The sequence below is a fragment of the Homo sapiens genome, chromosome 11 (assembly GCF_000001405.40).
Source record: "Homo sapiens chromosome 11, GRCh38.p14 Primary Assembly".
NCBI classification, from domain to species: Eukaryota; Metazoa; Chordata; class Mammalia; order Primates; family Hominidae; genus Homo; species Homo sapiens.
In genome coordinates, this window is record NC_000011.10 from 90,238,450 (window position 1) to 90,256,329 (window position 17,880).

Sequence of the window (17,880 nt, forward strand, 5' to 3'; positions counted from 1 at the left end):
CGTTGTGTTGAATCTTGAATCAGTTTGGGAAGAATTGACATAACGATATTAAGACTTCCCACCTATAACATGGTGTATCTCTAAACTTACTTCAGTGGTCTTCAATTACTCTTAGCATTTTAAAGTTTTCAGTTTATAAGTTTTGCGTATCTTTTGTAAGCTTTATTCTTGAATATTCCAAAACTTTGAATGTGATTATAAAGATATAATTTTTTTAAATTAAAAAATAATTTAGAGACAAGGTCTTGCTGTGTTGCCCAGGCTGTACTTAAATAGCCTCCTGAACAGCTAGGACTTCAGGAAATTTCTGTTTCCAATTGTTTGTTGCTTGTATATAGCAATACAATTGATTTTTGTATTTTTATCCTGAAACCTAAACTCACTCATTAGGGCAGTTACTTTTTATAGACTCCATTGGATTTTTTGAATAGATAATCATGTCATCTGAGAATAGAGACAGTTTAACTTCTTTCTTTCCAATATAGTCTTTTATTTCTTTTCTTGCTATATTTCATTGACTGGAATCTCCACCTATATGTTGAATAGAAGTGGTCTGCTATGCTTGCTTTGTTACTGATCTTAGGAAAAGCACTCAGTCTTTTACCATTAAATATCATGTTTACTGTAGGTTTTTCAGGAGTTACTCCTTAATAAGTTGAAGAATTTTTCTCTAGTTCTAGTTTGCTGAGAGACTTTATCATGAAACAGGATTGAATTTTGTTAAATGCTTTTTTCTGCATATATTGAAATGATCATATGAATTTGCTTTTCTAAGTTGTTAGTATGGTGAATTATATTGATTAAATTTTGAATGTTGTGCCTACCTTACATTCCTAGGATAAACTCCACATGATCATGATATATTGCCTTTTCCACTTATAGTTGAATTAGATTTGTAACATGTTCTGAAGAATTATAGAATTTATGGCCATGAGGGATATTGATCTGTAATTTTTTTTTCTTATTAGTGTCTTTTTTTTTGTTTTCCTAACAGGGTAATAGTGGACATATAGAATGAGTTGGAAAGTATTCCCTCATCTTTAATTTTAAAAGACGTTGTGAAAAAAATATATATTTTTCTGAAAAGTTTTGTTTTCATTCCACAGTGAAGCCCTCTGGGCCTGAATTTTTCTTTGAGGGCATTTTTTCCCACCTTTATTGAGGTATAATTGACAAATAAAAATTGTATATATTTAAAATGTACAACATAATGTTTTAATATACATTTAAAATGTAAATATTTACCACCATCGACTTAATATATCTATAACCTTACATAGTTACCATTTTTTGTGATAACAATTTATACTTTTCTTAGCAAATTTCAAGTACACAATATTATTAACTATAGCCACCATCCTGTACATTACATCCCAAGAATTTATAAATCTTACATATATGAAACTTTACACTGCTTGATCAACATTTTGCCATTTCTCTTACCCCAGTCCATTCTACTTACTGCTTCTGAGTTCAACTATTTACGATTCCACATGTGAGTTAATGCAGTATTTGTCTTTTTGTGTTTCATTTATTTTCCTGTATGGATTTTTTTTTTTTAATTATACTTTAAGTTTTACGGTACATGTGCACAACGTGCAGGTTTGTTAAAGATGTATACATGTGCCATGTTGTTGTTGGCGGAATAGGAACAGCTCCAGTCTACAGCTCCCAGCGTGAGCGACGCAGAAGACGGGTGATTTCTGCATTTCCAACTGAGGTACCGGGTTCACTGGGGAGTGTAGGACAGAGGGTGCAGGACAGTGGGTGCAGTGCACCAAGCGTGAGCCAAAGCAGGACGAGGCATCGCCTCACCTGGGAAGCACAGGGGGTCAGGGAATCCCCTTTCATAGTCAGAGAAAGGTGACAGACGGCACCTGGAAAATCTGGTCACTCACACTCTAATACTGAGCTTTTCCAATGGTCTTAGCAAACAGCACACCAGGAGATCATATCCTGTGCCTTGCTCAGATGCTCCTACGCCCACGGAGCCTCGCACATTGCTAGCACAGCAGTCTGAGATCAAACTGCAAGGCGGCAGCGAGGCTGGGGGAGGGGCACCCGCCATTGCCCAGGCTTGAGTAGGTAAACAAAGTGGCTGGGAAGCTCGAACTGGGTGGAGCCCACCGCAGCTCAAGGAGGCCTGCCTGCCTCTGTAGACTCCACCTCTGGGGGCAGGGCATAGCCAAACAAAAGGCAGCAGAAAACTGCAGACTTAAATGTCCCTGTCTGACAGCTTTGAAGAGAGTAGTGGTTCTCCTAGCACGCAGCTGGAGATCTGAGAACGGACAGACTGCCTCCTCAAGTGGGTCCCTGACCCCTGAGTAGCCTAACTGGGAGGCACCCCCCAGTAGTGGCAGACTGACACCTCACACGGCCGGGTACTCCTCTGAGACAAAACTTCCAGAGGAGCGATCAGGCAGCAACATTTGCTGTTCACCAATATTCGCTGTTCTGCAGCCTGCCTTGCTGATACTCAGGCAAACAGAGTCTGGAGTGGACCTCCAGCAAACTCCAACAGACCTGCAGCTGAGGGTCCTGACTGTTACAAGGAAAACTAACAAACAGAAAGGACATCCACACCAAAACGCCATCTGTACATCACCATCATCGAAGACCAAAGGTAGATAAAACCACAAAGATGGGGGAAAAACAGAGCAGAAAAACTGGAAACTCTAAAAATCAGAGCGCCTCTCCTCCTCCAAAGGAACGCAGCTCCTCACCAGCAAGGGAACAAAGCTGGACAGAGAATGACTTTGATGAGTTGAGAGAAGAAGGCTTCAGACGATCAAACTACTCCGAGCTAAAGGAGGAAGTTCGAACCCATGGCAGAGAAGTTAAAAACCTTGAAAAAAAATTAGACGAATGGCTAACTAGAATAACCAATGCTGAGAAGTCCTTAAAGGACCTGATGGAGCTGAAAACCACGGCACAAGAACTACGTGACGAATGCACAAGCCTCAGTAGCTGATTCGATCAACTGGAAGAAAGGGTATCAGTGGTGGATTTCATGTGATATCATTTTCCTTCTGCTTTCCGTACCTAATTCAACATTTCTCATAGTAATCTTCTATGGTGAAAGAATCTTTCAGCTTTTTTATATCTTTTTTCTTTTTTGAGACAGGGTCTCACTCTGTCTATTTCTCAGGCTGGAGTGCAGTGATGCAATCCTGGCTAACTGCCACCTCTGTCTCCAGGCTCAGATGACCCACCCCGCTCAGCCTCCCAAGTACTAGGACTACAGGCATGCACCACCACGCCTGGCTTTTTTTTTTTTTTTTTTTTGAGATGGGTTTTTGCCATGTTGCCCAGGCTGGACTCAAACATCTGGGCCAAGCAATTCTCCCACCTCAGCCTCACAAATTGCTGGAATTACAGGTATGAGCCACCATGCCCGGCCCCAGCTTTTTTATATCTTAAAAGTTCTTTATTTTGCCAGTCTTTTTGAATTTCCACAGGGTATATAATTCTAGGCTATCACGTTTTTCCTTTATTATTTTAAAAATGTTGCCTCACTCTCTTCTGGTTTGCATTTAGACAAGAAATAGGTAGTTTTCCTTATCTCTGTGTCTTTTTTTTTTTTTTTTGTACTGTGTCTTTTTTTTTTTTTTTGCTGCTTTTAAGATTTTATTTTTATTACTGGCTTTGAGAAACTTGATTATGATGTACAAAACTTGCTGTAGTTTTCTTCATATTTCTTGTGCTCAAGGTTGATTGAGATACTTGGATCTTCATGTTTATAGTTTTAATCACATTTGGAAAAAAGTTGGCCATTGTTTTTTCAAACATCTTTTCTGGTTTTCCATTTCCTTTGAGGTCTCCAGTATTGTATATATCAGGATTTTGAAGTTCTCCCACTGCTACTGATGTTCTGTCCACTACTTTTTTTTGTTTGTTTTTCCCTCTGTTTTATTTTCAATGATTTCTGTTGATACTAATTATTAGTCTTTTATTCTACCATGTCTAATTCATCATTAATCTCATGCAATATTTTACATCGTAGTCTTCGACTGTAGAAGTTTTTAAAAAGTATATGTGTCTAATTAACATGTTTATCTTTGATTTAGTTTTTTGAACAAGTGGTATAGTGCTATAAAAGAGCTATAGTAACTCTTTTAATGTCTTAGCCTATTATATTATCTGTGCTATCTCTGGTTTAATTTAAGTTGTTTGATTTTTTTTCTCATTATTGAACACATTTTCCTTCTTCTCTACATACCTATTTAAAATTTTACTTCCTAACATTGTGAATTTTACCTGGTGGGTGCTGAGTATCTGTTCTGCCTTGCAGTTAAATTACTTAAACATTTTATTATTTGGATATACCTTTTAAGCTTTTTTAGGGAAAAGGAGAACAAGAGCAACAGTTAATCTGTGGGTATTTTTGCCTTCTAATGAGACAAAAACCTTCAGAGTACTCTAGCTCACGTCTCATGGATTGTAAGGTTAACTCTGACAGATGGGAACCAAAATATTGTCACGTTGTATGATCTCTTGGGTTTTCTCTAATCTTTTCGGATGATGCTTTTCCCATCTTTGATTAGTTTTCTCAGATTCATGTGCTGCTCAGTACGCAGCACCTCCTCAAGTGGGACTCTGTAGGTCCCTGGAATTCTTACTCTGTGCAGCCCTCTATCTTTCAGTACTCTGCCTTGCAAATTCTATCTACCTTGGCCTCCTTGGAACTCCAGCTCTATCTCTTTGACTCAGGAAGACCGTTCCACTACCGTGCCTAAGTTCCTCTGTGTTGTAAACTTGAAACTTTCTCTAGGCTGTAAGCTAGGGTTATTGTATTACTTATCTCATTTGTGTCTTATCTCTCAGAGATCACTGTCATTTATTGCCTAATGTCCATTGTCTTGTGAACTGTTGTTCCATGCATTTTGTCTGTTCGTTTTTGTTTTGGGAAATAAAGTAAATCTCGCTTCTCTTCTTCTGTCTTAGTTAGAATCAATGTCACAGGAGATTTTGAATGCTTTTTCAAACCACTAATGGTACGAATTGTCTCAGGTTGGGCTTTGTGGAAGCAGACATTGAGACATGCTTGGCATACAGGATATTTACAGGAATCAATATCTGTAGAAGGAAGGAGGTGGAAACAGGATTGGGTAGATGGAGATTTCAAACTATGATGCAGGCCCAACATTATCTTGCCAATCCCATGGGGAGCTCTGAAAAATATAAATACTGTCCTGTGGTGAAGTGAAATGGTCAGGTCTTTATATCAACATGACAATCACTCATTGCTTGTGAAACAACCTGGTAATGTATCCTATTATGTAAGGTGGCTATCTGCAGCTGAAGCTAATTGTAACCTGATACAACTGACAGAGATTGTATAGTGCTCTGTAGCAACAGTCCTTGAAGGGAAAATCTTAATGACACATCTCCATTTCCACCACATTGGTTACATGGAAATGCTATTCATGGTAAAGGCGGCACAGCAGAGCAGTAGTAAAAGAGATGAACTGTTCAAAAAGTTTTGCTGGGTTAATTAATCATATGTAAAAAAGAGTAAACTATTACCTATACCTCTTGCCACATACCTAAAAAGGATTCTTATTGGATTACAAATATGAAAGTAAAAACAAAACAAAATAAAACGAAAAACAAACTTCTGAAAGATGACATACAAGAACATTTCACTGGAGAATGATTTTTGAAACAGAATAAAGAAAACAAAAATCACTAAGTAATATACAAAGTATGATACTGCAATTAAGAACTTTTTCATCAATGGATGAGACTCTAAAAAAACAAACTACGGAGTGAGCTAAATTATTTGTAACTGATAGACATTTGTATCAACACTGTACAAAGAACATTTACATAACAGTAATAGAAATCAGTAGGGGAAATAAAATTTTAATCACCATCAAACATATGATCAGATGCTTGTCTCATTATTAATAAGTTGGAAAAAATGTCCTTTAAGATACCACCATACATTTATGTTTGGCTAAAGTTGAAAATATTGTACTTTAAGTGTTTCCAAGAAAGTACAACTACTGGTTCAGGTTAATTGGTAAAAATACTTTGTCAAATTTTGGCACTTTCTCATAATGATGAAGATGAGCCTTTTCCAGACCCAGCTACACCTTTACATGTATATTAATGCACACACAAAGACACCCAGGAAATATGTACAAAGATGTTCAAAACAGCATTATTTATAAAATCAAACACTGGAAATAATCTAAGCATTAATTAACTATAAAGGGCATGCATAAATTCTGGTATAACCATACAATGTAATACTATACAAAATTAAGAACAAATGAATTACAGATACACGCAACAAAAATTGGTGAATTTCACAAGTATAATGTTGAGTAAAAAAAGCTAAAGAAAAAAATGCATTCAGCATAATTACATTTACATAAAGTTCAGAAAAAAGGCAACCATTAAATTTAAGAATACATACTATCATGGTAAACCCATATAGAAAATTTAAGAAATTATTACTACAAAAAAACAGGCTATGGTTACTTATGGGGAGGTGAGAGATTGTGGTAGGAAAGAGGAATGATTCTGAGGCACTGGCATATTCCATTTCTTTAGATCATGGATGTTCACTTTATGATTCATAAAGCAGTATGTTTATGTTTTATGTACGTTTCCATATTATTATTTCCATATCACGGGAATCTGAGGCCTAGATTATTTAAATATTTTGAAATTTCCAGTGGCAACACACCTCTTAAATATTACAGCAGAAAGGCTGGGGGCGGTGGCTCACATCTGTAATCCCAGCATTTTGGAATGCCGAAGCAGGTGGATCCCCTGAGGTCAGGAGTTCAAGACCAGCCTGACCAACATGGTGAAATCCCATCTCTACTAAAAATACAAAAATTAGCTGGGGAGGGATGGGTGGTGGGTGCCTGTAATCCCAGCTACTCGGGAGGCTGAGGCAGGAGAATGGCTTGAACCCAGGAGGCGGAGTGCCATTGCACTCCAGCCTGGGCACCACAGTGAGACTCCGTCTCAAAAAAAAAAACAAGCAAACATTATAGCAGAAAAATTTTATGCATAAAATTAGATTAAATAATCAAATTAGATACAGATTGTGGTGGACTGTGTTAACTAGACAAAGAACTTGCAACTCTTATTTGCAGAGAAGGACCATTGGAAGCTGAATAGAAATAGGTAAACAACCAATTCATGTACCATCATCCATCCAGCCTCCCAAGCCAGAGACATAGCATATCCAGCGATGAGCAGTCACCTTTCACCTTCCTTCATGATAAGTTGTGAATCTGGAATACCATGTAGGATTAGTTACAGACCTAACCCGATGACCTACATACAGCAGGAAGTTCCAACCTCAGGGCTTAAAAAAAGACTTTATTTTGGTAAGCCATGTCATATTGAACACATACATTTATTGCCATTTTCTCCTCAGATTTCACCAAAATTATAGTGTAGGAATAAAAAAAAGTATATAAATCCACAAAGATAAAAGAGATTTAAATAGAAGACTGCAACAAATGATGTCAACTAAGTTTTGTTTTATTTTGTTTATTTTAATTGTCTTTATTTTGGTATATAGGAACTTTTGCATTTTTGTTTCAGTGGTTTTCTGTGTATTAATATCTTTATATAATTACCTCTTTCTTTTCTTACTTGGGCTTCTACTGTTCAGTTTGTCAGCTTTAACTGAGTGACCTTTAACTGCTTTCTACAGGACAATCAATGAGATTATTACATTGTTTTTCTTTCTTCCATCTTCTCTAATTTTTTTTTTACTTTGTCAGTGTATTAGTCTGTTCTCATGCTGCTAATAAAGACATACGTGAGACTGGGTAATTTATAAAGGAAAGAGGTTTAATTGACTCGCACTTCCACATGGCTGTGGAGGCCTCACCATCATGGCTGAAAGTGAATGAGGAGCAAAGTCACCGCTTACATGATGGCAGGCAAGAGAACTTGTGCAGGGGAACTCCCATTTATAAAACCATCAGATCTCGTGAGACTTATTCACTACCACAAGAACAGTATGGGGGAAACTGCCCCCATGATTCAATTATCTCCACTTGCCCCACCTTTGACATGTGGGGATTATTACAATTCACGGTGAGATTTGGGTGGGAACAGAGCAAAGCCATATTAGTCAGTAAATGTAGCATTTGTATAATAGTCTTCCACCCTTAAGCCCAGCTTTATTATGCATTTATAGTTTAAATATATTTATTATATAAATTATTTAATATATGTATATATTAAATTGACCTAAATTTATAAGTATATATTAAATTGATCTAAATTTATTTATTCATTTATAACAAATATATTTAATAAATATGTTCACTGGTTGCCATCCATCTTTTGGCTGCAGTTTCCTCAGTCATTCTTTTGGTCATATAAGGCTTGTACTCTAGTGGAGTCCTCAGAAATAGCCTATGAAAATAATATTCCTTGAGTTCTTACATGTTTAAAATAGCTTTTTCCAAAGGCCTGAAATGTGAAGGAGAGCTTGATATAAAATCCTTTATATACTTCTAGACATTTTTTAAAATGTTGCTTCACTATTATTTTGTTTTTTGTATTGCTTTCTGTAAAGGTTGTACATCTGAGATATGGTGAATGCTATTACAAATTCACTTAAGTAATTTTACATTGAAAATAAAAGTGTTTTATGAATATGAATATAATATGAATACTAATTTTGTTGGAGCACAGCAGGATGGTACAATGTTACGAAATTAAGAAATTTATGAAGCAGAAATATACTTGAGATTAGTGTTGGTGCATTATAATTTTGTTTAGTTAAACTATGATAGTGTACTATTTAAAATATAACTCTGTCAGAATTTACAAATATTTTTGTATACCATAGAATGACTAAACTGAACTTTTTTTGTGATGAAGCCTATGTTGAATTCCTTCCCTTCCTGAAAAACAAACAAACAAAACCTCAGTATGGCTGGACGTTTTCTTCTCTTTCTTCCTAGCATCAATCAAATTTTTAGGAATGTACTAAATTTATTTCACTACTTTGTAAATCAACATAAACACTACTACTCTATTTCACTATTTTGTAAATCAACAAAATGGTATTGCATATTTTATAAATGATTCTTCCAAAATTCAGTTGCATTTTCTTTTCAGAAGGAGCTGAACATCTTTAAACAAAACAGTTAATAAATTTACATTGCCAGAAAACCTTCAACTTTGGAAATTCTTAGAGAGTTGTGATTTTTAAAAATAAAGATTACAAATAAAAATACATTGAACTTTATCCCTACAAAGCAAGGAAAAAACTTAAATGGATACAAAGAGTAGGAGGAACTAGAGATGACAAAGTTGTTATTAAAAAACATAAATATATATTTTTACTCTTTAGCACATGCCTGTGTGCACTCATGCAACCATACACACAGTTATTTGAGGAATACAACTTTTCTAATGTTATTCATATTTGAGTTTCCTCTATAAACAGTAATCTTGATGGAAGTAATTTATTAAATTTTTATATCCAAATTGTGAAATACACTTTCTTATGATAAAATCTTATTTTTTTTTAACTTTTAAAATTTCCTTAATTGGTTTTAATAGCTTCATAAAAGAGCTGAAAAGTATCCCAGCACTTTGGGAGGCAGAGGCGGGCGGATCACGGGGTCAGGAGATGGAGAGCATCCTGGCTAACACAGTGAAATCCCGTCTCTACTAAAAAATACAAAAAATTACCCATGCGTGTTGGCGGGGGCCTGTAGTCCCAGCTACTCGGGAGGCTGAGGCAGGAGAATGGCGTGAACCCGGGAGGCGGAGCTTGCAGTGAGCCGAGATGGCGCCACTGCACTCCAGCCTGGGCGACAGAGCGAGACTCCATCTCACACACACACAAAAAAAACACCTGGAAGTGAGAGGAGTAAACACAAAATAGTGCAAAACTTGTCCAACTTAGGAATGGGAACTGGTGTGTAAATTCTCCCTGATTCTGTCTCAAGTGGAAAATACACCTGAGATGATTTCTACAAGGCTTCTTAGAAAGACTGAGCCCCAAGTAATACTGCAATAATTAGTGCAACAGTGTACTCTAAGGTTTAGTTTTCTTCCTTCCTTTCCGTCTCTTCCCAGTTTCCCACTTCTCTTCTTTGAGATAATTTAACAACAAACAATAAAAAAAAAAACTATCTGCTTACAAGCCTTTGTATTCAGCTCTGCTTTTGGAGAGGACCTAGGCATGAGACAAACTGAAATATTTTGAAGCATAAGCATTTTTACTGAGAATCTTTTTTTTTTAGATTAAAGGTTCAGAAAATGAAATTAATCATATTTCAGAATTTGATGGACTAAATGCTCTACTAATAACAAAAACAAGTTTACAGGCAGAGTGTTCGGAACCGTTGTTGATTAGGAAGAAGAATTTTTTTTGTGCAAAGATGGCTGGCATTTCCAAAAAAATTACATTTCCATTATTATCTAACATCCCAGCTTTTCTATACCATTTCAATTTTTATTAAACTTTAGTTTTTTAAATGGCGCATACAAGTGCTAAATGAATTGCTTTGTTCAGATTTAAATAAACTACCTACAGTTTTGAACTCTTTGACTGAATTTTTGTATATTTGTAGTATACTTTTCTATAATCCTATCAATACAGAAAGTTACTAAGACTTGTAGTTTCTACAAAATTTTATATGCGTGACCCTAACTTTGGAATATTCCAGACCATATTTCTCAAAAAAGTCTATTTTAGAGAGAATTTCTCCTATATCTTCCTTCCAAATCAGTTTGTTATAGCGGGAAATAAGTTTTTAAGGAACATCAGGACATATAAATCCACTCCATATATCTAACTAAAATGTGAACTCCTGGAAGGAAGAAATTTTTGTCTCTTTTTAAAACGATTATATCCTCCGTGTTTAGAGCAATGACTGACATAAGGTAGGTACTCAGTAGATACTTGTTAAATCGAATAAATTAATATATAAGAACTCAATAATAGGAAAGGAGCTCAATAGGTATATTCACAATGAAATCATCACTGAGGTTTTTCTTTAGCCTATAGAATTTGGAGCAAAATTGAACAAAAGCAAATTTCAGTAAGTTTAGAAATATTTATCTTACAATTAACAAAACAGTATGACTAAATATATACACATAAAAAGTCCATGTAGAGTTAAAAGTAAGTTGGCATGAAAGCAGAAGAAGAAATGCTTTTTGATTTTTAAGGGTTAAGTTGAAGTTTCTTTTAAAATAATAAATAACATTATGGATAATTATAGGCTCAGTAAATACTACCAAGTTTAAACATTGGTATAAAAAGATAAATAAATATTGTTTCTGTCCACAAGATGGCAGAAAAGATTTATTTTAGAATCAGTAAACAACCTGTCATTAAACCAAATAATGTGTATCTTAAAAAGCTAATGTGTAAGAAATGCAATTTTTTTTTGTGGTTGTTCCTTAGAGGTAAAACTTCATCAGAAAGGTTCTATCATTGGTGCATAGAGTTTCTGCGACTTTTTATACTTGCCTTCTCCCTTCTCCCTTCTAAACTCTCCACTTTTTTTTTTTTTTTTTTCCTGTGATGCAGCAGTCTCTCTCCCGCCCAGGCTGGAGTGCAGTGGCGGGATCTCGGCTCATTGCAACCTCTGCCTCCCGGGTTCAAGCGATTTTCCTGCCTCAGCCTCCTGAGTAGTTGGGGCCCGCGCCACTACTCCTGGCTAATTTTTGTATTTTTAGTACAGACGGCGTTTCACCATGTTGGCCAAGTTGGTCTCGAGTTCCTGACCTCAAGTGGTCCACCTGCCTCGGCCTCTCAAAGTGCTGGGATTACAGGCCACCGCGCCCGGCCTTATTTCATTTTTTAATATACATCCAGATTAATCTTAAATTAGAAATCTGAACATGTTACTCCCTAACTAAAAATACTTTGATAATTCCTTAAACCACAAGGAATAAAGAATAATCCGGACGGGCGCGGTGGCTCACGCCTGTAATCCCAGCACTTTGGGAGGCGGAGGCGGGCAGAGATCAGACCATCCTGGCTAACACGGTGAAACCCCGCCTCTACTAAAAATACAAAAACAAAAAATTAGCCGGGCCTGGTGGCGGGCGCCTGTAGTCCCAGCTACTCGGGAGGCTGAGGCAGGAGAATGGCGTGAACCCGGGAGGCAGAGCTTGCAGTGAGCTGATCTCGCACCACTGCACTCCAGCCTGGGCAACAGAGCAAGACTCCGTCTCAAAAAAAAAAAAAAAAAAAAAAAAGAATAATCCACTTAGTTTATTCACTCAACCAGTATCAGTAACCATGTTCTCTTTACAAGGCACTATGTATGTATCATGGGCACTAGCAATAGAAACACAAATAATTCACGAAGCTTTCCATTTTGAATATTATAAAGTTGTAAAGATATAGCTGCAAGAAAGCAATTACCTAGAGAATGGTTTGGGGACTGTGAAGGCACAAAACGATAAGGCTTAAGGGTAAATTCGACTATGGATCATCCAGGTCTGGAACTCAGGGAAAATACCTGGGCTTGAGAGGGCAGTTTAGAAATCATCAGCATATAAGTACAATTAAAGAGCTATAAGCATTAGTGGGTAATTTATTATTGACTTATATGGTTTGGCTCTTATGTTCCCACCCAAATCTCATCTGGAATTATAATTACCACGTGTTGGGGGAGGGGCCTGATGGGAGGTGATTCAATCATGTGGCGGACTTCTCTCTTGCTGTACTTGTGAGAGTTAGTGAGTTCTCACGAGATCTGGTTGTTTGAAAGCGTGTAGCACTTCCTCCATCTCCCGGTCTCTTTCCTGTCCTGCCATGGTAAAGAAGTGCTTATTTCCCCTTCGCTTTCCACCACGAATATTTTTCCTGAGGCCTCCCAGTCATGCTTCCTGTTTTGCCTGCAGAACTGTGAGTTAATTACATCTCTTTTCTTCATAAATTACCCAGTCTCGGGTATTTCTTTACAGCAGTCTGAAAACGGAGTAATAACATTGATTCTTAGAGTTATAAATAATAATTACAAACATATTCAAGAGCTACAGAAATGATTAAAGTGAAGTTCACACAGATTATTTCCATTGCCTAACATTTTGACACACATGTATCATATATACACATACACATATATAATATACATATTGATATCTCACACTTATCTTACACATAAACACAACTTTTATGTGTACACTCTAAATATCTATGTATAATATATCTGAGGCAGAAAAATAGGGAATTAGGATAGACAAGGGTTGAGGCATAAGTAAGCAAAGAATAGCAGGTGCAGCCCGTTCTAGGCAAAGGAATAGCAGGTGCAGCCAGTTCTAGGCAAAGGAATAGCAGGTGCAGCCAGTTCTAAGCAAAGGAATAGCAGGTGCAGCCAGTTCTAGGCAAGATTAGGCAGCATACAGGCCACGTCTTCACTCCTGTGATTACAAGACAGAAGTTTCCATTTCAGCCTCTGTTGGGTTGCAGGCCCATCTTTCATAGGGTATAACCAACTGGAGGCCACTAAAGGGCACCTAGGGGTGTTGCCAAGTTATTTTGGCTTTATAAAAACCCTAATTGGAGAGGCTCTTGATCTGCTTGCTACAGCCGGCTCCCACTCTGTGAATTGTTGTCAATAAATCTGTGCTTTCCTTGCTGCATTCTCCGGTTGCTTTGTCTTTCCTTGCTCTGTTCTTTTGTCACTTTGTTTCTGCATTTTGTTCAATTCTTTGTTCAACAGGGCAAGAACCTGGACAACTCTATCCAGTAACATATTTATGTATACATAATACATCATAAATAGTGCCATAATGTGCATCCTGTTTTTGAACTGCAATTCACTTAACAGTAACTCAGGAAGAGGGAGGTGGAGGACACAGCAAGTAAGACTGAAAAAGTATGGCCAGGAAGCTAAATAAGAATCTAGAGAATGAGGTCATGTAAGACAAGAATTGAAAGACTTTTCGGAATGGATAATTTATTGTCAAATGCTGCACAATTAAGAACCGAAACAAGAACTAAGAACTATTGACTGGATTTGGCAATTAGACTGGATGTGACCTCTGCCAGAACAGCTTCAGTAGCATGGCAGGGTGGGAACCTGATTGCTGTGTTGAGACGCAAAGAGGGGGCGTTAGTAATCATGAACTGTTTCTATGAGAAAGTCCCTTTGAAAAGACAGGGGAAAAACATTCTCTTTTCTCCACAGCCTCATCAACGTTTGTTATCTTTTGTCTTTTTAATAATAGTCATCCTAAAGGTGTAAGGTGATATTTTATGGTGGTTTGATTTGCATTTCCCTGATGATTAGAGATGTTGAGTACTTTTTCATATGCCTGTTCACCATCTGAATTTCTTCTTTTGATACGTGTTTATTTAAGTACTTTGCCGAATTTTTAATTCAGTTATTTATACTTTTGGTACTGAGTTGTATAAGTTCTTTATATATTTTGGGTATTAACTTCTTATTAGGTGAATGGTTTGCAAATGCTTTTTCCAATTCCATCAGTTGCCTTTTGATTTAGGTGATTGCTTCCTTTGCTGTGCAGAACTTTTTAATTTCATGTAATACTGGATATCTATTTTTGCTTTTGTTGCCATATCCAAAAACATATTGCCAAGACCACTGTCAAAAAGCTTTTTCCCTATGTTTTCTTCTAGGAGTTTTACAGTTGCATGTTGTTTAAGTCTCTAATTCATTATAGATTGGTTTTTGTACGTGCGTGATAGGGGTTCAATTTAATTTTTTTTTTTTGCATGTGGATAACCAGTTTTCCAAACACCAATTTTTTCTTTCTTAATAAACTATACCCATTATGTGTTCTTGGCACCCTAGTAGAAGATACATTGACCATAAATGTATGGGCTTATTTCTGGGCTCTCTAGTCTTTTCCACTGATTTAGATGTTTGTTTTTATGACAATACTGTACTGTTTTGATTACTATAGCTTTGTAATATGATTTGAAGTCAAGCAGTGTGATGCTTCTAGCTTTATTCTTCTTAAAATTGCTTTGGCTATTCAGGGTCTTTTGTAGTTCCATGCGAATTTTAGAATTGTTTTTTCTATTTCTGTATAAATTGCCATTGGGATTTTGATAAGGATGGCATTGAATCTGTAGATTGCTTTGGGTAGTGTGAACATTTTAACAATTTTAATTTTTCCAATCCATGAACACGGAACGTCTTTCTATTTGTGTCTTTTGAAAAATTTCTTTTGGTAATGTTTTACAGTTTTCAGGGTACAGGTCTTTTATTTCTTAATTTCTAAGTATTTCCTTGTTGTTATTGTTGCTAATTTAAATGAGCTTGTTTCTTGGTTTTCCTTTTGGAAAGTTTGTTTTTAGTGTATAGAAACACCACTGATTTTTGTATGTTAACTTTGTATCCTGTAATTTTATTGACTTTTTAAGTTAGTTATAATAGTGTTTTGTGTAGAGTCTAGGGATTTCCAGGTATATGATCATATCATCTGCAGAAAAAGATGATTTTTCTTTTTCCCTTTCGATTTGGATACTTATTTTTTCTTCTTCTTCTTGCCTGATTGCTCTGGCTAGGACTTCCAGTACTATGCTGAATAGCTGTGGTGAGAGTTGGCATTCTTGCCTTCTTACAGATCTTAGAGAAAAAGCTTTCAGATTTTCCCCGTTGATTATTATGTTAGCTGTGCCTCTTTCATATATGTCATTTATTGTGCTGAGGAAAGTTTCTTTCATATCTGTTTTGTTGATAGTTTTTATCTTAATGTTGAATTTGGTCCAATATTTTTTCTTGCATCTACTGAGATTATGTAGTTTATTCTTCTGTTAATTTAGTATATCACATTGATCGGTTCTTACATGTTGAACTGTCCTTGTATGTCAGGGATAAAATCTGCTTAGTCATGATATATGATTATTTTAATTCTTTTGCTAATATTTCATTGAAGATTTTCACATTTATGGCCGTTGAGAATGTTGGCCTCCAGTTTTCTTTTTTGGTGTTGATTTTTTCTGGCTTTAGAATTGTGTTGTTAGCCTCATAAAATGAGCTTGAGAGTATTATCTCTTCTATTTTTTTGCAAGAGTTTAAGAAGGGTTTGTATTAGTTCTTTGAATATTTGGTAGAATTCACTCATGAAGCCTTCTCGTCCTCAGCTTTTCCTTGTTGGAAGGTTTTTTATTACTGATTCAATCTTCTTGTTTGTTATTGGTCTACTCAGCCTTTCTATTAGTTCTTAGTTCAGCATTAGTAGGTTTTATATTTCTATTGCTTATTTCTTTTAGATTGTCAAATTTGTTGGTGTATAATTATTCATCATAGTTGTTTAATATCATTTTTATTTCTGTGGCATTAATTGTAAAGCCTCCTTTTTCATTTCTGTGTTTTATAATTTGAGTTTTCTTTCCTTTTTTCTTAGTTTAGCTAAAAGTTTGTTAATTTTATCTTTAAAAAAACCAACTCTGTAATATTATTTTTTCTATTGTTTCTCTCTCTTATATTTTCTTTCTTTCTGCTCTGATCATTATTATTTTCTTCCTCCTGTTGCCTTTGTGTTTAGTTTGTTCCTTGAGTTATAAAGTTAGGTTGTTTAGTTAAGATATTTCATTTTTGATGTAGGCATTTAACACAATGAACTTCCCTCTTAGTATATGGCTTTTGCTGAATTTCATAAGTTTAAATAAATTGTGTTTTCATTTTTGTCTCAAGATATTTAAAAAATTCCCCATTTGATTTTCTATTTTGCCCAGTGGTTGTTCAAAAGCTGTGGTTTAATTTCCACGTGTTTGAGAATTTTCTAGTTTTGTTTTTGTTATTTCTAATTTCATTCCACTGTGATCTGAGAAGACACCTGATATGGTTTAAATCTTTTAAAACTTGTTGACTTGTTTTGTGATCTAACATATGACCTATTTAGGTTAATGTCCTATGTGTGCTTGAGAATAATTTGTATTCTGCTGCTGTTGGGGAAGAAGGTCTGTGTATATCTGTTAGGTCTCTTTGGTGTATAGTTTTGTTTAAATTAGCTGTTTCCTTATTGGAATTCTGCCTAGATGTTTTATCCATTATTGAAAGTGAGAGTATTGAAGTTTCCTATTATTATTGTATTATTGTCAATTTCTCCCTTTGGCTCTGTGCATGTTTATTTAATATATTTATGTGCTCTAATGCTGAATGCCCATATATTTATAATTGTTGTGTCTTCCTGTTGAATTGTTTTTTATAATTACATAACAACCTTCTTTGTCTTGTGACATTTTTTGACTAAAAGACTACGTTGTTTGATACATGTATAGCCACTCACATCTCTTTTTCTTACAATTTGCGTGGACTACCTTTTCCCAGCCATTTACTTTTAGTCTCTGTATGTCCTTATATCTAACATTAGTTTCATGTAGATTGTATATTGCTGGATATTGTATTTTTATTCATTTTGATTGGGAGTTTATTCATTTACATTTAAAATGATCATTGATATGTAAGGACTTGCTGTTGCCATTTTGTTCATTGTTTCCTTTTTGTCTTGCAGTTCTTTTTATTTTTTTTTTCCTATTTTGTTGTTTTGGTATTTGATGACATTTTTGGTGGTTTGGTTTGATTCATTTTATGTTATTTTTCGTGTACCTACTGGAAATTCATGGTGTTCCTTTCATGTTATCATGTTTTCCTGATTCTTCATGATTCTTGTAGCTCTGCGTAGGTGTCTGTACATTTGAATAAGTAATTACTTCTTCCAGATTTTATGGACTAGCTTTGGTAAGGAAAGACCTTCACTTATAGGAAGGTAGAGGTAGGAAGGAGATGTGGGGTGGTGACTATGGGGTGTATGATGGAGCATACTATGGTAGCAAGTCTGATGGCATGGAGTGCCAAGTGTGGGAATGTGCAGTGATTCTACGTTTAGGAAGGCATGGTGGCTAGGGGGCTCAGGCCGTTAGTGTCAGTGGCATTAGCAACT

At 35.8% G+C, this 17,880-nt stretch overlaps 1 long non-coding RNA gene across 1 annotated transcript in view, besides 2 other annotated features; it reads left to right on the forward strand.

The window, feature by feature from the left end:
- Positions 1,752–2,046: a silencer, noted in NCBI's record as "tiled region #337; K562 Repressive DNase unmatched - State 1:Tss". NCBI's record gives its function as "represses a minimal TATA promoter and a strong SV40 promoter by Sharpr-MPRA in K562 cells {active_cell/tissue: K562}" and the evidence as "EXISTENCE:reporter gene assay evidence [ECO:0000049][PMID:27701403]".
- Positions 2,673–2,925: a silencer, noted in NCBI's record as "fragment chr11:89974290-89974542 (GRCh37/hg19 assembly coordinates)". NCBI's record gives its function as "represses an EF-1alpha promoter that drives an FKBP-Casp9 reporter gene in an ReSE screen in HepG2 liver carcinoma cells {active_cell/tissue: HepG2}" and the evidence as "EXISTENCE:reporter gene assay evidence [ECO:0000049][PMID:32094911]".
- The window catches only part of DISC1FP1 (DISC1 fusion partner 1), a 663,821-nt gene continuing 658,723 nt past the window's right edge, over positions 12,783–17,880 (forward strand). Inside the window, exon 1 of the long non-coding RNA NR_104190.1 lies at positions 12,783–12,868. This is a non-coding gene — a long non-coding RNA (DISC1 fusion partner 1). The remainder of the gene's footprint in view (positions 12,869–17,880) is intronic.